The sequence below is a fragment of the Homo sapiens genome, chromosome 10, assembly GCF_000001405.40.
Source record: "Homo sapiens chromosome 10, GRCh38.p14 Primary Assembly".
Taxonomy (NCBI): domain Eukaryota; kingdom Metazoa; phylum Chordata; class Mammalia; order Primates; family Hominidae; genus Homo; species Homo sapiens.
In genome coordinates, this window is record NC_000010.11 from 60,566,204 (window position 1) to 60,584,793 (window position 18,590).

The 18,590-nt window shown below is 38.0% G+C and overlaps 1 protein-coding gene and 1 long non-coding RNA gene across 3 annotated transcripts in view; both read right to left on the minus strand.

The window, feature by feature from the left end:
• Positions 1-18,590, minus strand: part of ANK3 (ankyrin 3) — a 707,231-nt gene that overhangs the window by 539,906 nt on the left and 148,735 nt on the right. Inside the window, exon 1 of one of the 2 annotated variants that reach the window (NM_001204404.2) lies at positions 6,262-6,753. The exons of the other annotated variant lie outside the window; for it this stretch is intronic. Coding sequence (NP_001191333.1) covers positions 6,262-6,324 — 63 coding nt within the window. The 5' untranslated portion in view covers positions 6,325-6,753. Of the gene's footprint in view, positions 1-6,261; positions 6,754-18,590 lie in introns of those variants that run through there. 2 annotated transcript variants of the gene reach the window in all.
• Positions 12,489-18,590, minus strand: part of LOC124902430 (uncharacterized) — a 33,828-nt gene continuing 27,726 nt past the window's right edge. Inside the window, exon 2 of the long non-coding RNA XR_007062150.1 lies at positions 12,489-12,592. This is a non-coding gene — a long non-coding RNA (uncharacterized LOC124902430). The remainder of the gene's footprint in view (positions 12,593-18,590) is intronic.

An 18,590-nucleotide genomic window follows, 5' to 3' on the forward strand; every position in this document is an offset into this window, starting at 1 on the left:
TGTTCTGACTGCTCCACTGACATGTTCTTCTCTCTCCATCTACCTGGGCCTCCCTATTCCCTGAGATACAATAATATTGAAATTAGGCCAAGTAATAACCCTACAATGGCCTTTAAATGTTCAAGGGAAGGAAGGGCCACACATCTTCCACTTTAAAGCAAAAGCTACAAATGATTAAGCTTAGTGAGGAAGGCATGCTAAAAGCTGAGACAGACCAAAAACTAGGACTCTTTCACTAGTGAGCCAAATTATGAATGCAAAAAGCAAGTTTTTGAAGGAAATTAATGTGCTACTCTAGTGAACACATGAATGATAAGAAAGCAAGATAGCCTTATTGCTGCTAGGGAGAAGGTCTGAGTGCTGTGGATAGATCAAACCAGCCACTAGCCAGGCATGGTGGAGCTCACACCTGTAATTCCAGCACTTTGGAAGGCCAAGATTGGAGGATTGCTCGAGGCCAGTAATTAAAGACCCGTGTGGGCAACATTGTGAGACCTCATCTCCACACACAAAAATAAAAAAGTTAGCCAGTTGTGGTGGAGCACACTTGTGATCCCAGCTACTTGGAAGACTGAAGTGGAGGATTGCTGGAACCCAGGAGTTTGAGGCTGTGGTGAGCTATGATCATGCCAATGTGCTCTACCTTGGGCAACAAAGAGTGAGACCCTGTCTCTTAAAAACAAAACAAAACAAAAACCAGCCACAGCATTTGCAGAGCATGGCCCCGACTCTGCAATTCTGTGAAGACAAGAAAGTTGAGGAAAATGCAAAAGAAAAGTTTGAAGCTAGTAGAGGTTGATTCAAGAGGTTTAAGGAAAGAAGCTGTCTTCATAACATAAAAGTGCAAAGTGAAGCAGCAAGTGCTGATTTAGAAGTTATAGCAAGTTATCCAGAAGATCTAGCAAAGAAAACTGATGAAGGTGGTTACACTAAACCACAGATTTTTCAGTGTAGGCAAGACAGCCCTATACTGTAGTGGGAGAAGATCCTACCTAGGACTGTCACAACTACAGAGAAGTCAATGCCTAGCTTCAAAGGACAGGCTGACTTTCTTGTTAGGTGCTAATGTAGCTAGTGACATTAAGTTGAAGCCAATGCTCACTTACCACTCTAAAAATCCTAGAGTCCTTAAGAATTATGCTAAATCTACTCTGCTTGTGATATATACATGGAACAACAAAGCCTGGATGACAGTACATCTGTCTACAGCATGGTTTGCTGAATATTTTAAGCCTACTGTTGAGACCTGCTGGCCAGAAAAAAAATTTCTTTTTAAAATATTACTGCTCATTGACAATGCACCTGATCACCCAAGATCTCTGATGGAGATATACAAGCAGACTAATGTTGTTTTCAGGCCTGCTAACACAACATTGATTCTGCAGCCCATCATCAAGGAGTAATTTCAACTTTTGTGTCTTATTATTTAAGAAATGCATTTTCTAAGGCTATAGCTGCCATAAGTAGTTGTTTGTCTGATGGGTCTGAGCAAAGTAAATTGAATATCTTTTGGAAAGGATTCACTATTCTAGATCCCATTAAGCACATGTGTGATTCTTGGGAGGAGGTCAAAATATCAACATTAACAGGAGTTTGCAAGAGGTTGACTCCAATCCTCATAGACAACTTTGGGGGCTCAAGACTTCAATGGAGGAAGTATTAATAACGGCAGATGTGGTGGAAATAGCAAGAGAGCTAGAAACCTGAAGACATGATTGAATTGCAAGAGAACTAGAAACCTGAAGACATGACATGCCTCATGATAAAACTTGAATGGATGAGGAGTTACTTCTTATGGATGATCAAAGAAAGTGGTTCCTTGAGATGGAATCTACTCTTGGGTGAAGACACTATGAACATTGTTGAAATGACAACAAAATATTTAGAGTATTACATAAACTTAGTTGATAAAGCAGTGGTGATGTTGAGATTGACTTCAATTTTAAAGAAGTTCTACTGTGAGTAATGTTATCAAACAGCATTACATGTTACAGAGAGATCTTTCACGAAACGAAGAGTTTGTCAATGTGGCAAACTTCACTGTTGTCTTATTTTAAGGAATTGCCACAGCCACCCCAACCTTTGGCAACCACCATCCATCAATAGCCACTGACATCAAAAAAAGAACTTCCACAAGCAAAAAGATTAAGACTCGCAGAAAGTTCAAGTATGTGCATTGCCTTTTTAGACATAAAAAACACGTACTTAATAGATATACTTAACAGACTACAGCATAGTGCAAATATAACTTTTATATGCACTGGGAAACCAAAAAATGTGCATGACTTGCTTAGTTGTGATATCCACTTTACTGCAGTGGTCTGGAACCAAGCCTACCATATCTGTGAGGTATGCCTGTAGCTGGCTCTAGCCAGTAATTGAAGGCTCTCCCCTATGTAGCATCTGCTAAGTGAATTGAATTAATAGAATTTCAGTCAGTATCACATGATTTATTAAGCACACCTAAGTTGTGAACCTGGATAGTATACCCTTCTTTGGATGCTGCTATGGACAAAATTGTGTCTCCCCTCAACCCCCCAAATTTATATGTTAAAATTCTAACCCCCAATGTGACTGTATGTGTATGTTAAGGTTAAATAAGGTAATAAGGATGAGGTCCTAATATGATAGGATTGCTGGTCATAAAAGAAGAGCAAAAGATGCCTCTCCTTCCACAGATACACACTGAGGAAAGGCCATGTGAGCACATAGCAAGAAGATGGTCATCAGCAAGCTGGGAAGAGTGTCCCCACTAGGACTAACCATGCTGACACCCTAATCTCAGCCTTTCATTCTCTAGAACTGTGAGAAAATAAATTTGTGTTGTTTAAGCCACCTAGTCTATTGTATTTTTTTAATGTCAGTCCAAGCTAATACAGATGCTAAAGAAAAAAAATCTTTAAGTGTCACTTCCTACATTTTATTCTTGGCAGCTGGTTAAAATAAGCACTTCTGCAGTATAATATCAGAGGGGGCAATATGTTATCCTGTGTCATCTCTTCTATAGGATCAGTTACTCTACATCAAGCTTGAAATTCCACCATGATGACCACTTCGAGGTTAGGTGTTATCATTTTAAAAACTTTAAAAAATACGGTCTTATTGATTATTTTTATTTTACTTTCCTAGTATCCCCAGTAGCTGCCTCAGGTACATGATCCCCATTTTATAGAAAAAGAGAGTTTGATTCATCTATTCAAGACAAGATATCAAGTTAGAAGCAACATTACAAGAGCACCCAGGTCTCTTCAAGCAAATCCTTCTTTGATAACTAGCATAAGTTGACATAAACAGCTATGGAATATGGATACACACAGACACCCTCTTCACATTCCAGAACAAAACACAGAAATTATTAGAAAAAGCATTTCCTAACACCAACTTGAATCATTATATTCCTGATCAAAATACAAAAATACTATGCGCTAACAGAGGAATAATATGATTCCATCACATTTACCTTGATGACTCCATATTAAATGTCTCAAGAGAGACTTTATACCCAAATGCCCTAAGCATGTGATCTGTTTTTCTGAAAACACTCAACACCAACACATAATTTTAAAGGCCATTTTAAGATAGATTTTTTTTATGGAAAATGATGTCACACTAAATTTTGTTTTAAAATAATTCCATATGTCACTAGGAAATATTTTGAATGCTTGGGGAGCTTGTTGCCACAGAGTTTGGCAGGTTGCCTATATTTCCCACCTGAAATGCTTTTATTTGACCACACCCTCCCCTGCTTCAGTATAGGTCATCTGGAGCACCCAGAAAACTTATGGAATATTTGCTTCAGAATAAAAAGGTATATATATATGTATACATATTTTTCAGCAACAAAATATTGTATCCTTTTTCCAGAAAATATGGGGAGAAAAGGCCTACTCCTTTGAAAGATATCTACTTTTTGATATGTATCTGCTCTAACACTGAAAATTCTTAGTAAACTCTGATCAGTAAACTGGTAGAGATAATTCAATGGGACATTTATTTAGTGTCAACTGCATACAAGGCAGCATGCTGAGTGCTTTTGGAGGAAAATATCAGGAGGTTCAATGTGGTCAAGAGAATAAAGTAGGTATCTGATAGCTTGAAAAAGAAGCAGAATGTGTTAAGTGTCCAGACAGTATAAGGTGCTGTGTTCATCCAGAAGACTAACTTCCAACTAGGGAGAATCAAGACATTTCAAGAAGAGGGCAAGATATGGGTTTGACCTTCAAGGATGGGTAGGATGTCACCCAGTGGGCTGGCACAGAAATGCATTCTCAATGGACAAAGAACAAGCATCAGAAGAATGATTTAATTCAGGGACTGGTAAAAACCCTGGTCTGGATAGAGTCAGATGTGAATGAAATATAATGAGGGGGAAAAAAACAGAAATGTGGGTACAGGTTAGACTGGAGAGCTTCAGGCCCTATGGTCAGGAATTTGGTATTCACTGAGCAGGCAGTAAGGAGTTTAGAAGGTACTAGACAGAGGGTGATGATCAAAGCTTTCATTAAGAGTGCCCTAGCAGCAGTTGGGAGAGTGTGGAATGAAGGAAGAAGGGCTCAAAGCAATTGACTTTATATTGTGCTCTGAGCAGGATAACCTCATATGAGGAGACATGGAACACAGCTGGGAAAATTTCAAGGTAGAGAGAGGGGAAAAAAAAGCCCGTGTTAAAGGATTCCACATAAAAGCTCGATGATTTACAACGAATCCAGCCACTGCTCACTCTAATATGGATTGCACCGTCGTGGTTCATGTGTCTGTCTCGGCTCTCTATGACACTCTATGTTCAGAATCATGGTGGAGCCTGTCAAGACACTTAAAGCCATATCTTATAAACATGAGCAAACCTGACAGGTTTTTTTTTTTTTTTTTTGAGACCAGTGCCACTATGCTAGGCATTAAACAAATCATTTGTGCTGTGCAGCTGAGACCTGCTCCCTTGGGAAATCAGACTAACACCTTTGCAACATCATCAACCCTTGCCAAGGCAATGTACAAGAAGTCAAGGCTGACTTAAAACCAGTCTGCACAGATTCACTATCTGGAAGACATTGAACCACTGCCCTAGAATGTTGGCATGTACATAGACATGACCTCAGAACAGTCTGCTGGTAGTAGGTCCCTTAAGAACATCATATTCAAATTAACCTTTTAATTAATAATAAACAGATTATGAACATTTTTTTAAACGCCTGATATATTCCACGAGTAGCTGAAATCTTTATCTTCTCTACTATAGCCACCATTCTGTATGTGTCCACTGTCTGAGCATACATTACATTGGGCCAAGGAAGCATTTTAAAGAGGTAAAATTATATATGAGTCCTAGTAATTAAAATATTATATCTGAAGATTTTGACTATAGATTTTAAAATACAGCACACATTCTCCTTAAATATCTATGAGCTATAATCCTATTTTAGATATTTGTTTTTCTTTGTTACAGATGCACAACTGTCTTTTCCATTGGTGGCACACCCTAAAACCAAGACAATTTATAAATCACAATGGATCAAAACCAAATGACAGATCTAGAGAATTATCTTTTTTCCCCATTTCAAAATGAATTAAAAAGTTAGGAGCACCTTTGAAGATATACACATTCAAGAAAACCAAAATGAATCTACAGGTTTACCATAATCATCTATTAATATATTGATGATTCCTCAATTTACATGGAAAACAAAATTAATTTTTTGGATTATAATAGACAAACTGGGTATATGGCTGTATGACTGCAGGGTCGAATGCAAACCTGAGATCTGTCAGCCATAAAGTGATCAATAATTAAAATGGAGTTCACCTCCATGCTGTAATTTTAAAGTATAACTATAGGTTTCTCTAAGTTTCCCTAAAATATATGTTAAAGCTAAACATCTATACCATAATAATATTCATTAGTAATTATACCCTGTTGATTAACGAGCATTCTGTGAAATTTAAAGGAGAAAAAAACACACCCACCCACATAATTAGGACGTGTTTACTTAATAATCCTGAATATCACTATGAAAAACACACCACGTCAGTGAAATCTAAATGACTGTATTTAACTGTTTAAATATTTTAGCAGTGTATCCGAGTTGTGATGATTTTCCTCCAAGACAGAACACACCCATTAATAGACTGGAAAAACAAAAGCATTCAGATTCTAGCAGCTTCTTAAAAATCTAAAGCCAATCTCTTAAAAATTCAGCCTAAAGATCACTTCCTCCCCAGAGCCAGAGAACAATGAAGAGAACATGTTGCTTATTCATTTCTTACCTTTTTTCCTTTCCTTTTCCTATGAGCAGGTTTTGCATTTTTCTCCTTTGGTTCTTCACTCATCTTTCCTTTAAATCAGGTGAGTTTATAAAAGACAGATCACCGCCGGTATTCCAACATCCAAAACCACGGCAAAGAGTCAAAGCATTGAGACCAAAGTCCATTTACGGGTGCTCCCCAGGCAAAGCAGCCGCTGCTTAAACCCAGCCCCTGCTGCTGTCAGAGAGACGCGGGCTGCTAATGTAGCCCTGTTCAGCTTTCCTCAGGAAGAAACTGGGTGTTCTCTATATCAAACAGTCAATTATTCTTCTAAAGAAAATCAATATTTTAGCCTTTCATTTTTAACTAATCGTTACCCTGAGATAAGGTCCTGACAAGACTTTGTTGCTTGTTCCTCCACAGTGATTTGAGCCTGGAAATGGTGAGAGAGAGAGAAAGAGAGAGAGAGACACACACACACACCCTCACACACACAGAAATAAGCTACAGACTGCTGACAAGTCTCCGAAGCCTTCCCAGGGGCTGATTTGCTGCTTCTAGCAGGCTGGGAAGCTGAATGTAAATTGCTCTCCGTGCTGCTAGCCTCCCATACTAACACATGTGTTGAATGCATCAGGGCATACCGGAGGAGGCAGTCGGGAGAGTGATAAAAGATCAGGTTACTTGGTCTGTAAAAAAAAAATTCAATGATTCAAACAATAAAAGAGACCTACCACTACTGGAGAAGTCACATCACAGGCTAGATTTTCTCCATGATTACTCTTTTTTTTTTAATGTGACATGCAAAAAAGATGCCAATCTTCACCTAAGGATTTCTAATGCAGGGTTTATGACGGAAAGCCCCATACCCAATTTGCCATGATTCATATTTAATCATTGGTTTCCTTCCATGAATATACCAACCAACCAACCAACCAACTAACAAGAAACCCTCCAGAATATTCAGGAAATACTAAGAGCAAAGCTGCTGTCTCTGTGGCAGAAACATTCTGTGCTTCTTGACTGTGTTTAGGGCAGTGCAGGTCTCAGATCACATTACACACTCCCCAGCTGCCCTGGCCACACACTGTGCCCACACTCCCCACTGCACGCCATCCTGAGCCCCAGGAATCTGGTTATTTTCTGAGTGTCTGGGGTATTTCACACCTGGGTGGAAACCCCCTCACCATGCCTTCCATCCATTTAAACACAGCCAAATTACTATTATGAGCTGTCATTTAAGCATCTTTAGAAGCATGCCAGATACATTCTGATTCAGGAAAGCATAAGGTTCTAGGAGCAACCACAGACAACCACTAAGATGAAAACAGAGCACTTTGAGCAGATAACTGACAGAAGTACAAAGTGAGAGTGGGGTAACAAGTGGGAAAGGGAGAAAGAAGGGGAGAGAGGGTTCAGGTCCATTCCTAGGGGCTGGGAGCCAGGAATAAATCATATCAGTTCCACACACAGTAACATTGTTATTCAGGAGACATAGCATTCAAATGAATATTAACTTTTTCAGGAGAAATGGGATTCAAATGAATGTAAAACACAGCCATACAGGAAAAAACAAGTCACAGAGGGCTAATTTTTCAATGGTATGTGTGGGGGACTTAACAGTGGTTGAGGACATGACGCTAAAATATTAAACCAAAAGAACAGATCTGTTGAGGCTGAAATCGTCCCCATTTTTTACCTAGCATATAAAGGGGGTTTGTGTCCATATTCAACCAAGATTCCTTCTCCTACACCTGAAACACCAGTCCCAGAGAAAGACATGAGTTAGAGGGATGCTTAGATGCTTTACCCAGGGCTGAGCAGGCCAAGCATAGGGATTCAAGTGACACGCTCAGAGAGCCACGTGGATTTTACCAACCACAGGGCAGCTATTTGAGCTAATTTCTATTTGAGGTGTGCGCATTAATTATAATAATACACATCTCAGTAAGTCTGGGATGGCCAGAATTCTGAATGGTGTTGGGCATCTAATCATCATGTTCTACATTTCTGCTCAGACACTGAACTGCTATTTAACCACAGTTTCCATTTTCTGCCACTATTCAGTAACATTCCTCTTGTCATGCAATATAAAAGGCAGAACATCTCAAGACGGCAAAATAAACCTTTCAAGTTCTTCAGTGATTCAACCCTTGCTCATCTTCAAAACACAGGGAAATCTGGGGAACTGGCAGTACCTTTACTGCTTCTACCGCTCATTGACTTCAATCGGGTGAACCTTGTTTATTAGTCGTGTGTCTTTTGAGGGATGAGGATGAGGTAGGTGCTTTATACAAATTCTTCATAAGCTGAAGAGTCTAAGCAGGTGGATTCAATTTTGACTTTCCCACCTAAATCTTGACATTCTTTACTAGGTAAGCAACAGAGATAGTACATCCACCTAAAGTAATTTGTCTATAGTAGATTCCAAGCAGTAGGATTTACCTCCCAAAAGAAGCCTTTGTCAACAACTATTTACTGACTATCCAAAGAACATGGGCCTCTTTCTTTAAAAACAAAAAGCAAACAAAAACAACTGAGGGGGTATAAAAATTGAGATTAAATTTAGTTCATTTACATAAAAATTTACAAGTTAATTGGGATTATAAAATATACAAAATACAATTAACATGATATGTCTGGCCAAGGGCATAGCACAAGAATATGTTTGAAGAAAATGTCTTTATAAAATTCTTTTTAAACTATAAACGGGTGTTTAAATTAATGTAAAATTTAGGAAATTGATCGAATAAACATGAATTGGCAGGAAATGAATCAACCTGTGACTAAGGGTAGTTGTTCGCCCATTTCTTTGATAAAGCATGATCTTGGCTGTATTCATTTGTATATGTAAGGTTCGTATTACAAGCTGAAGTGCTCTCTGCTGGTTGGATGGAAAAAAAAAAAGGACGTTTGAAGACTGGATTATACGGCAAAATTCTACAAAAGATCATTTTAAGAAGGAATTATTCTTCCTGATGAGGAACTTGTGACTTTGAATAATATTTCAAGATGTCACATTGTTTAATCAGGTCTGACAGAAAACCCAGTTTTGAAGAATATGTTTAAAATATGTCAAATTATTTAGATAGCAAAATGTATCATTTAAAGTTATAATTTAATAATAAAACTATGTGGCATATAACATGTTTTATGTCCATTTTCTGTAACTTGATAAGTTCCAGACTTTTTAAAAGAAACAAAGAATTACATCTCTGAAACTGTGTTAAGGCCAAAAGAGCTCCTATGCTAGAGTTAAGGCCTTAAATCATCACAAAATCAATAGTAATTTAATTTCTAACAATGTAAAAACATATCTTCACTTTATAAAATAGGGCAAATTTCATTTAAGGGTTGAAAAATTAAAACAACTTACCTTTAATAGAAAAGGTATTAGTTATTATTATTTAATGATGTTTCTCTACACCTCTACTCTAGAAATACGCATTCAAAGAAATAATGATTGTTTTAATATGCCCAAAGGTGTGCCAGTGCATTTTAAATTAAAATTGCTCTGTGTAAAAGAGTAATTTGATTGACCTAAAAACAGTCTAGGGGTGATTACTTGTTTCAAAAATGTTAAATGTTAACTACTTTGCGGCGGTAATCTCTTTTCCACCCAAATTATAAAATTCCCTCAGCTCTTGGGGAAGTTAAATTTAACCTCAGAAAAAACATAAGCTGAATACATGGAAAATATCAATTTGGATGCAAAGCTCTATCAGTTCACCAAAGAGGAAAACACGACTGGATTATAATGTTCCCACACTTAACTCCACAGAATTCACTGCCTACTTAGAGTTCACTCCCGATAGAAGTCATCACAAACTAGTTGATACAGATCTGAGACTGTTCTATTTTTAAATTAAATAACTCGCATAAGAGGACACCAACCAGGGCCAACTGAAGTCTCGTAGAACAGATCTATTTTTAAAACAGAAAGTAGCTTGCCATAGGAGAAATAACAGGGTTGGGGTTATTAGGAAGCAAATTTTTTTAAGCTATCTTCCGCATAAAATTCACTTGAAAACACTAACACTGAATACAATTGTTTGACTGACATGAAGGTATATCACATTAAAGGTAAAACAAAACGAAGCAACAACCTTCCATTGATATTCAGCAGAAATGCCTATATGAATAGGCTAATTTTATTTTTAAGGTTAGGATGTCATGCACTTACTGTAATTTACACTGCTAGTTGGCAAGTTAAAATAGTTACTAAATCTTACTAACAGCATTCCCTTGATACCATTCATCAATGTTTAAAATACTTGTAAAAGTGAAAGACAAATCCACAGGCAAATAAGCTGTTCTTTCTGAAAACAAAGGAATCTTTAGAGCTAAGTGAAACACTGAGATGCTGTGCCCTCTTCCTCCACCTGTGGCAAGGGTTTCCCCTGAGACACCTAGCCAGTTCACAGCATAGCTGGTACCAGAAGCAATTCTACCAACTGCTCTGAAGAGCTTTCTTTGCACTACACCAGTATCTCCCAGAGAATGTCAAGTTAGCAGTGAAATTTGAGATGATATTCAATGGTAAACAAACTTGTCCTTAATAGTTATGTATTTACTTTCAATTTGAAAAAGAAAAAAGTAACTAGGCTCCATCAGGTGCATTTCATGAAAACTTCCCTGTGGGGTTTTGGTATTTACTTTGCACTACTTTGTGCAAATGCCATCAGAGAAGGGAACAGTACAAAGAGAGTGAGAGGGAATAGGTGGCCATTCTTCTTCCCACAGAGCTGGCATTGTCTTAGGCTAAGGATGGTCTTGTAGTTAGTTCCACCACATCCACCAGTACTCTTTCATTCTCCTGCTTGCCCACTATCTCAAGTGATGTTCCTGGGGCCCTAAACTTCTAGGCCATAGAAAAGATTTACAAATACTAAAGCCTCAGCGTATAATTGTATTGATATGGTTTGGCTGTCTCCCCACCCAAATCTCATCTTGAATCCTATAGTTCCCACAATTCCCACCTGTTGTGGGAGGGATGGGTGGGAGGTAACAAATCATGGGGGCAGGTTTTCCTTGCACTTTTTTTATGATAGTGAATAAGTCTCATGAGATCTGATGGTTTTATAAACGGGAGTTTCCCTGCACAAGTTCTGTTACTCTCTCTTGTTTGCCACCATGTAAGATGTGCCTTTCTCCTTCCACCATGATTGTGAGGCGTCCCCAGCCATGTGGAACTGTGAGTCCATTAAATCTCTTTTTCTTTAGTAAGTACCCAGTCTCAGGTGTGTCTTTATCAGCAGCATGAAAACAGACTAACACAAGTATGTATAAAAGTCATTAAGTTTTATAAAATGTCTTGGTATTTTTAATGTGATGAAAGCATCTGAAGAAACATGTTCTATATATTAGGCTTCTAGTCTTCTTTGAGTCTTCATATTGAAAAATGATCACAGTGACATTGGTACATCTTCTTACAGCAACTGGAAATTCAGATAGGTGTGGGGCATAAGGTGAAGCAGAATGAGATTGTGAATTGAGTTGCAATTTCCAACCCATCCTCAAATATCTACAATGATTTTTGCCATATCTAATGATCATTTGTAAATTAAGATAGAAATTTTTAAACCTAGCTTAACTGTAAGCAATACTCTTTGTGACAGTATGGTTTTGATACACTAGATTCATTTTTGACAATGCATTGAACACTTCAACCAGGTCCATAGCAGGATTTTCCTGTTTTGTTCCGAGTTTTCTTTCTTTCCTGGTTATTCAGCCATATGCCCATTAAAATACAATGATATAATAAAAGTATATTAGTAAAATAGGGAGACACAGAATGTTCAAAGACACATAGCTGTTAAATGCATGGTTTGCTTTTTGTTTATTTACTTCCTTGAACCTTTGCATTTTTGTTGGTATGGTTTTTTGAGCAGTGTAATTTTCTTTCACTGGGCTAACAATTTTCTCTAGAGGCCCAGTGATATTTACATGACAGATATACATTCTTTTGTGAGGTGAGGAACTGATGAGTCATTCCTTTGATCTTCCCTAAATCCATGTGTTTTACTTAATAATAATAAAGATCCTAAATGATTTTAAAAGAATGATGATGATAGAATCTAAAGATATTCCCTTGCTTTGTAAAAGGTAATTTCCAGCAATGCTCATATTAAAATGACTAAGAACTAAGGCTGCTTATATTTGAGTCCACAGTGAAATGGGGTCAGTAGTTCTGCTTGGCTTTCTTTTATTGCTGTGGAAAAGTCGTACAAAAGATGGACAGATACAGCTCCACTGGAGTTCTTTATTATCAAATATCCATCCAACACAGCAGCTTTCCAACTCTCCATATTCCAACAACATAGAACTATCAAGACCCTTATTTGTTCATCTCCTAAAATAAAAGGGATTAGAAAAGGAATTAGATTTCTTAAAATTTTAACTTAAATGATATTTCCTAGTATCTTAAAACTTTTTTCTAATCTTAATGGTACCTTGCCTAAGACCAACATGATATAATGATGAGTACGTCTGGATATCTCTTACCTTTTATTTGGTTTTGCTTAATAATTGTTGGCATAGATGCCTGAAATCATTTGTTCAAGGAACAGGAGAAAAAAAAATGAGCTTAAAAGATTTTTCTGGCCGGGCGCAGTGGCTCACGCCTGTAATCCCAGCACTTTAGGAGGCTGAGGCAGGCGGATCATGAAGTCAAGAGATCGAGACCATCTTGGCCAACATGGTGAAACCCCGTCTCTACTAAAAATACAAAAATTTGCTGGAAGTGGTGGCACGCACCTGTAGTCCCAGCTACTCAGGAGGCTGAGGCAGGAGAATCGCTTGAACCTGGGAGGCGGAGGTTGCAGTGAGCTGAGATTGTGCCACTGCACTCTGGCCTGGCACCAGAGCGAGACTCTCTCTCAATAAAAAAAAAAAAAAAAAAAAAAAAGATATTTCTAGTTGCAAAATAAATAAATAAATAAATAAAATAAAGGAGAATAGGAGAAATTACAATGAAAGAGGAATGAGTTATTGAAGTGGGGAGTTTATGGAATGAAGATTATGCAAGCTGTTCTAAGAAGCTCCTGCCTTATTTGTACCCTCACCTGTGACATCAAAATATTGCCTCAGCCCCATGATCAAAAATGATACTGACATTAAAACCAGGACCAGGTTCTAGCCAATGATATTTTCATCATGTCATTATTAACCCTCAGAGTAGTTGGAAGTCATAATTATAAAGTTAAGGTAAAATCCTTAATTTTAAAATAAGTGTATACTGATTGTCATATAGTCTTCTGGATTTGTCATGGTCCTTGACCCAAGTTTCTCCAACCAAATAACTGAGAACACATATTCCTCTTAAAGTGACAGACTGCAGGACGTCAATCCTTTTATAATTATCCTTTAATTATTTGTAATATTGATGCTTTTGACACACAAATATGCCCCTAATCTTAAATGATTCGTACATTTAAGACATGGTAAAATGATTCAGAAAATCCTATAAGAATCAGCAGTGAAAATGACATTCCTCTGGAGTTTACCATTCATTATCAATCTAAACATTCCTCAATGAGGTATAAGGATGTGTGTTTGCTTATAACCTCATCAACATAAGTTAGCAACAATCTTTTGTCATATTTACCAAATTGATAAGAAAAAAATATTATGCTGTGTTTTAATTTGCATTTCTTTGGCTGGTAGAACACTCTTCATATTTCTTCACATTCTTCATATTCACTAATAACGTCCATTACTTATTTTCTATTTTGTAAATTTTATTTTCATAACTATGCTTAGTCTATCAAGATAATCAATGAGGATGGACTTATTTTTAAGTCTAAGAAACAGAGGACTAAAGAAGACACAGCCTCTATTCTAAATCAAAGTGAGAAATGAATAAGTGATTGGAGAGCCACAGGTGATATCTAAATAAGCTTCTATAAAGTCCTGTTCAGATGACAGCCAGCATATAAACACCATGGTTTCTTTGGTATACTGTCTTTAGCTAACTCAAACCTACCACTGCTATTATAAACATATTCAAATTTTGCCCTTTTCTAACCACCTCTATAAAAGAATTTTAAAATAAGAATTTTCCATGTAAATTAAAGTTAGCTTGAGACAATGATTATATGATTCTGTATGAAAATTTATTTATCCTCTGGGATTATTCACTACAAAATCCTCCAAAGTTATTAAGAAATCTCTCCAAATAATTAACCTCAGTATACAAGTATTCTTTATTATTTAACTCTTGTAACATAGTGTATAAAATTTTTTTTTCACTAAAACAAACCCAACTTTTATACTGACTTTGACTTACAAACTAAAGATATGCTCACTCAGAAACTGAAAATGTCCCCAAATAACTGAAAAGAACACCTTCGCAGGGAATCTGGTCTAGCCCAGCTGGCCAGGCATTTTTCAGGCTTGAAGGGTGGAAAAAATTATGAAAGAAATGAACTACAAGCTTGCTTTCTCTACCTATAAGGGAGAAGACAGAGTAGTCAAAGAGGGTCACATCTAGGTCCAGGCAAACTTTTATCGTCTTTGAAAATGCTATCCCCAATATTCTGATGCAGTACAATATTCTGAAACTTAATAAACATGCATAGCCTGTAAGCTCCTGGAACAAAGCTTATATCAACTCATATGTATGTCTTATGTGCCAGCACAGGGCCTGGTACAGACGAGGTGCATTATAAATACCATCTGAATCAACAAATTGACAAGCAACAGAGTTACAGAGTTTTGTGTCATGCTGGACATTGTCCTACACTAAAAGTGTCATTCTGTCTAAAAACTGAAGCCCCATTTTACACTTTGATGTGGTGTGAGAGACAGCATTGACATAGAAACCTCAGCAGGCCATTTCTCGCACACCACCAAAATATAAAGGTCGTTCATAATGTGCATTTATCTGATGATTAGGGGTACCAAGCATCTTTACACACATCTGTTCAACATTTGTATGTCTGCTTTTGAAAACTGCCTATCCAGGTATTTTGCCCTTTTTTTTTTTTTTTTTTTTTTTTAAGACAGAGTCTCGCTTTGTCGCCCAGGCTGGAGTGCAGTGGCACAATCTCAGCTCACTGCAAGCTTTGCCACCCGGGTTCAAGTGATTCTCCTGCCTCAGCCTCCTGAGTAGCTGGAATTACAGGCACCTGCCACCATGCCTGGCTAATTATTATTTTTTTTTTTTTGTAGTTTTTAGTAGAGATGGGGTTTCATCATCTTGGCCATGCTGGTCTTGAACTCCTGACATCGTGATCCATCTGCCTCGGCCTCCCAAAGTGCTGGGATTACAGGCATGAGCCACAGTGCCCGGCCATTTTGCCCATTTTTTAATCAGGTTATTTGCTTTTTTGCTGATGAGTTGTTGGAATATATTTTAGGAATTGGAAGCCAACATGAGAAAAGGCTGCAGCTTACTATTCACAATAGCAAAGACTTGGAACCAACCCAAATGCCCATCAATGATAGATTGGATAAAGAAAATGTGGCACATATACACCATGGAATACTATGCAGCCATAAAAAAGGATGAGTTCATGTTATTTGCAGGGACATGGATGAAGCTGGAAACCATCATTCTCAGCAAACTAACACAGGAACAGAAAACCAAACATGGCATATTCTCACTCATAAGTGGGAGTTCAACAATGAGAACGCATGGACACAGGGAGGGGAACATCACACACTGGGGCTTGTCAGGGGTTGCGGGGCTAGGGGAGGGATAGCATTAGGAGAAATACCTAATGTAGATGATGGGTTGATGGGTGCAGCAAACCACCATGGCACATGTATACCTATGTAACAAACCTTCATGTTCTGCACATGTATCCTGGAACTTAAAGTATAATAATAATAATAAGAAGAAAAGGCTGCAGCTTATCCAGAACCACAAAGTGACCTTGAGGCAGTACATCTATCTGAGGCAGTACATCTTCCTGAGGCATTTCTACTGAAGTTCCAATTGTTTCCTGAATTTTCCTTCCTTCCTCTCTTTCTGTCTGAAACTCAATGATGCCCTCATATAATTAGATTTGTACACATTCCCAATCCAGTTTGACAAATATTCATTATTCCTGTAATATGTGCCAGAGTTGAGCAAAGGGCTGAAGAGGCCAAGGTCACCAAGGCCCAATGGGACTTCAGGCAGATGTACCACCTCAAGGTCACTATGTGGCTCTGGACAAGCCACAGCCTTTTCTCATGTTGGCTTCCGATTCCTAAAATATATTATTTTTATATAATATATTATATAAAATATAAATATATTGATTCCTTCTACATTTTGGATATGAGCCCATTTTCAGATGTATAGTTTGCAAATATATGTTCCCATTCCGTAGGTTGTCTTTTTGTCTGTTGACTGCTTCCCTCACTGTGTAGAAGCTTCTTCGTTTGATCTTATCCCCTCACTCCAGTCACAGTGGCTACTATCAGAATAGCAAAAGATAACAAGTGTTAGTGAAAATGTGGAGAAAAGATTGCTGGTAGGACTCTAAATTAGTACAGCCATTATGGAAGGAGCAATATGGAAGTTCCTAAAAAAATTAAAAATAGGACTACCATATGATCCAACAATCCCACTACTAGGTATATATCCAAAGGTTATAAAATCAATATGTTGAAGAGATATCTGCAATCCTAGCTCATTGCAGCACTATTCACAATAGTCAAGATATGGCATCAGCCTAAGTATCTATCAGCAGATAAATGGATAAACTGTGGTACATATGCACAATGGAATACTATTCAACCATAAAAAAAGGATGAAATCTTGTCATTTGCAGCAATGTGGATGAATCTGGAGAACATTACCTGAAGCGAAATAAGCCAGGCACAGAAAGAGAAATACTATGAGATCTCACTCATATGTAGAATCTAAAAAGTTATTCTCATAGAAGTAGAGAGTAGAATAGTGGTTACCAGGGATAGGGAAGAAAAGAGGGAAGGGGGATAGTGAGACATTGATCGACGGTATAAAGCTATAGTCAGATAGGAGGAATAAGTTCTGGTGGTTTATTGCATAGCAGGATGATTAGAGCTAAGAACAATGTATTATATATTTCCATATAGCTTACAGAGAGGTTTTTTGTTTTTTGTTTTTTGTTTTTTTTTGAGGTGGAATCTCGTTCTGTCACCCAGGCTGGAGTGCAGTGGCGCTCCAGTTCTGTCACTCAGGCTGGAGTGCAGTGGCGCTCCAGTTCTGTCACCCAGGTTGCAGTGGCACGATCTTGGCTCACTGCAACCTCCGCCTCCGGGTTCACGCGATTCTCCTGCCTCAGCCTCCTGAGTAGCTGGGATTACAGGCGCATACTACCATGCCTGGCTAATTTTTTGGGTATTTTTAGTAGAGACAGGGTTTCACTATGTTGGCCAGATTGGTCTCGAACTCCTGACCTCGTGATCCACCTGCCTTGACCTCCCAAAGTGCTGACATTACAGGCATGAGCCACGGCGCCCAGCCACAGAGAAGTATTTTAAATGTTCTTATCATAAAGAAGTGATGTTTATGGTGATGATATGTTAGTTTTCCTAATTTGATCTTTACACAGTTTACACATGTATGGAACCATCACATTGTACCCCCAAAATATGTATGATTATGTGTCAGTCATTTTTAAAAAGATGATGGTTCTTATTATCTTAAACCTTCCCTTTCCTTAACCTTAGCCCATCTCATCCTAATTATGACCAACTCCCTCTACCTCCACTTCTTACCAGAAGTTCAGAGGTAGGTGAGAGGAAGATTGGGAATTAGGGTTAAGAGGTCCATAGGCTGGACCAATTACTTGGTTGTTTTTAAGCTAAATAGTAAATGGCTTATTATTAAGATGACATCAGAATAGCTATCTGGTGTCAAAACTACGTCATCAAAATGTCCTTAGCATTTTGATTATGGAAGGAACAATAAGCACGAGTCTGGGTGTAATGGCTCATGCCTGTAATTCCAGCACTTTGGGAGGCCAAGGCAAAAGGATTGCTTGAAGCCAGGGGTTCAAGGACAGCCGAGGCAACAAAGAAAGACTCTGTCTCCACCAAAAATTTAAAATTAGCCAGGTGTGGTGGCAAGTGCCTGTAGTCCCAGCTACTCAGAAGGCTGAGGCTAGAGGATCACTTGAGCCAGGAGTTTGAGGCTGCAATGAGCTATAATTGCACCACCATACTCCAACCTGGGCAATAGAGCAAGACCCCATCTCCTAATGAAAACAACAACAACAACAAAAATGAAGAGCATCAAAGTGTACAAAAGACACATAACAAAGCCATGTAGTTCCTCTAATCTACACCTTTCCTGAGACATTTCTACTGAAGTTCCAATTGTTTCCTGAATTTTCCTTCCTTCCTCTCTTGTTGTCTGAAACTCAATGACATCT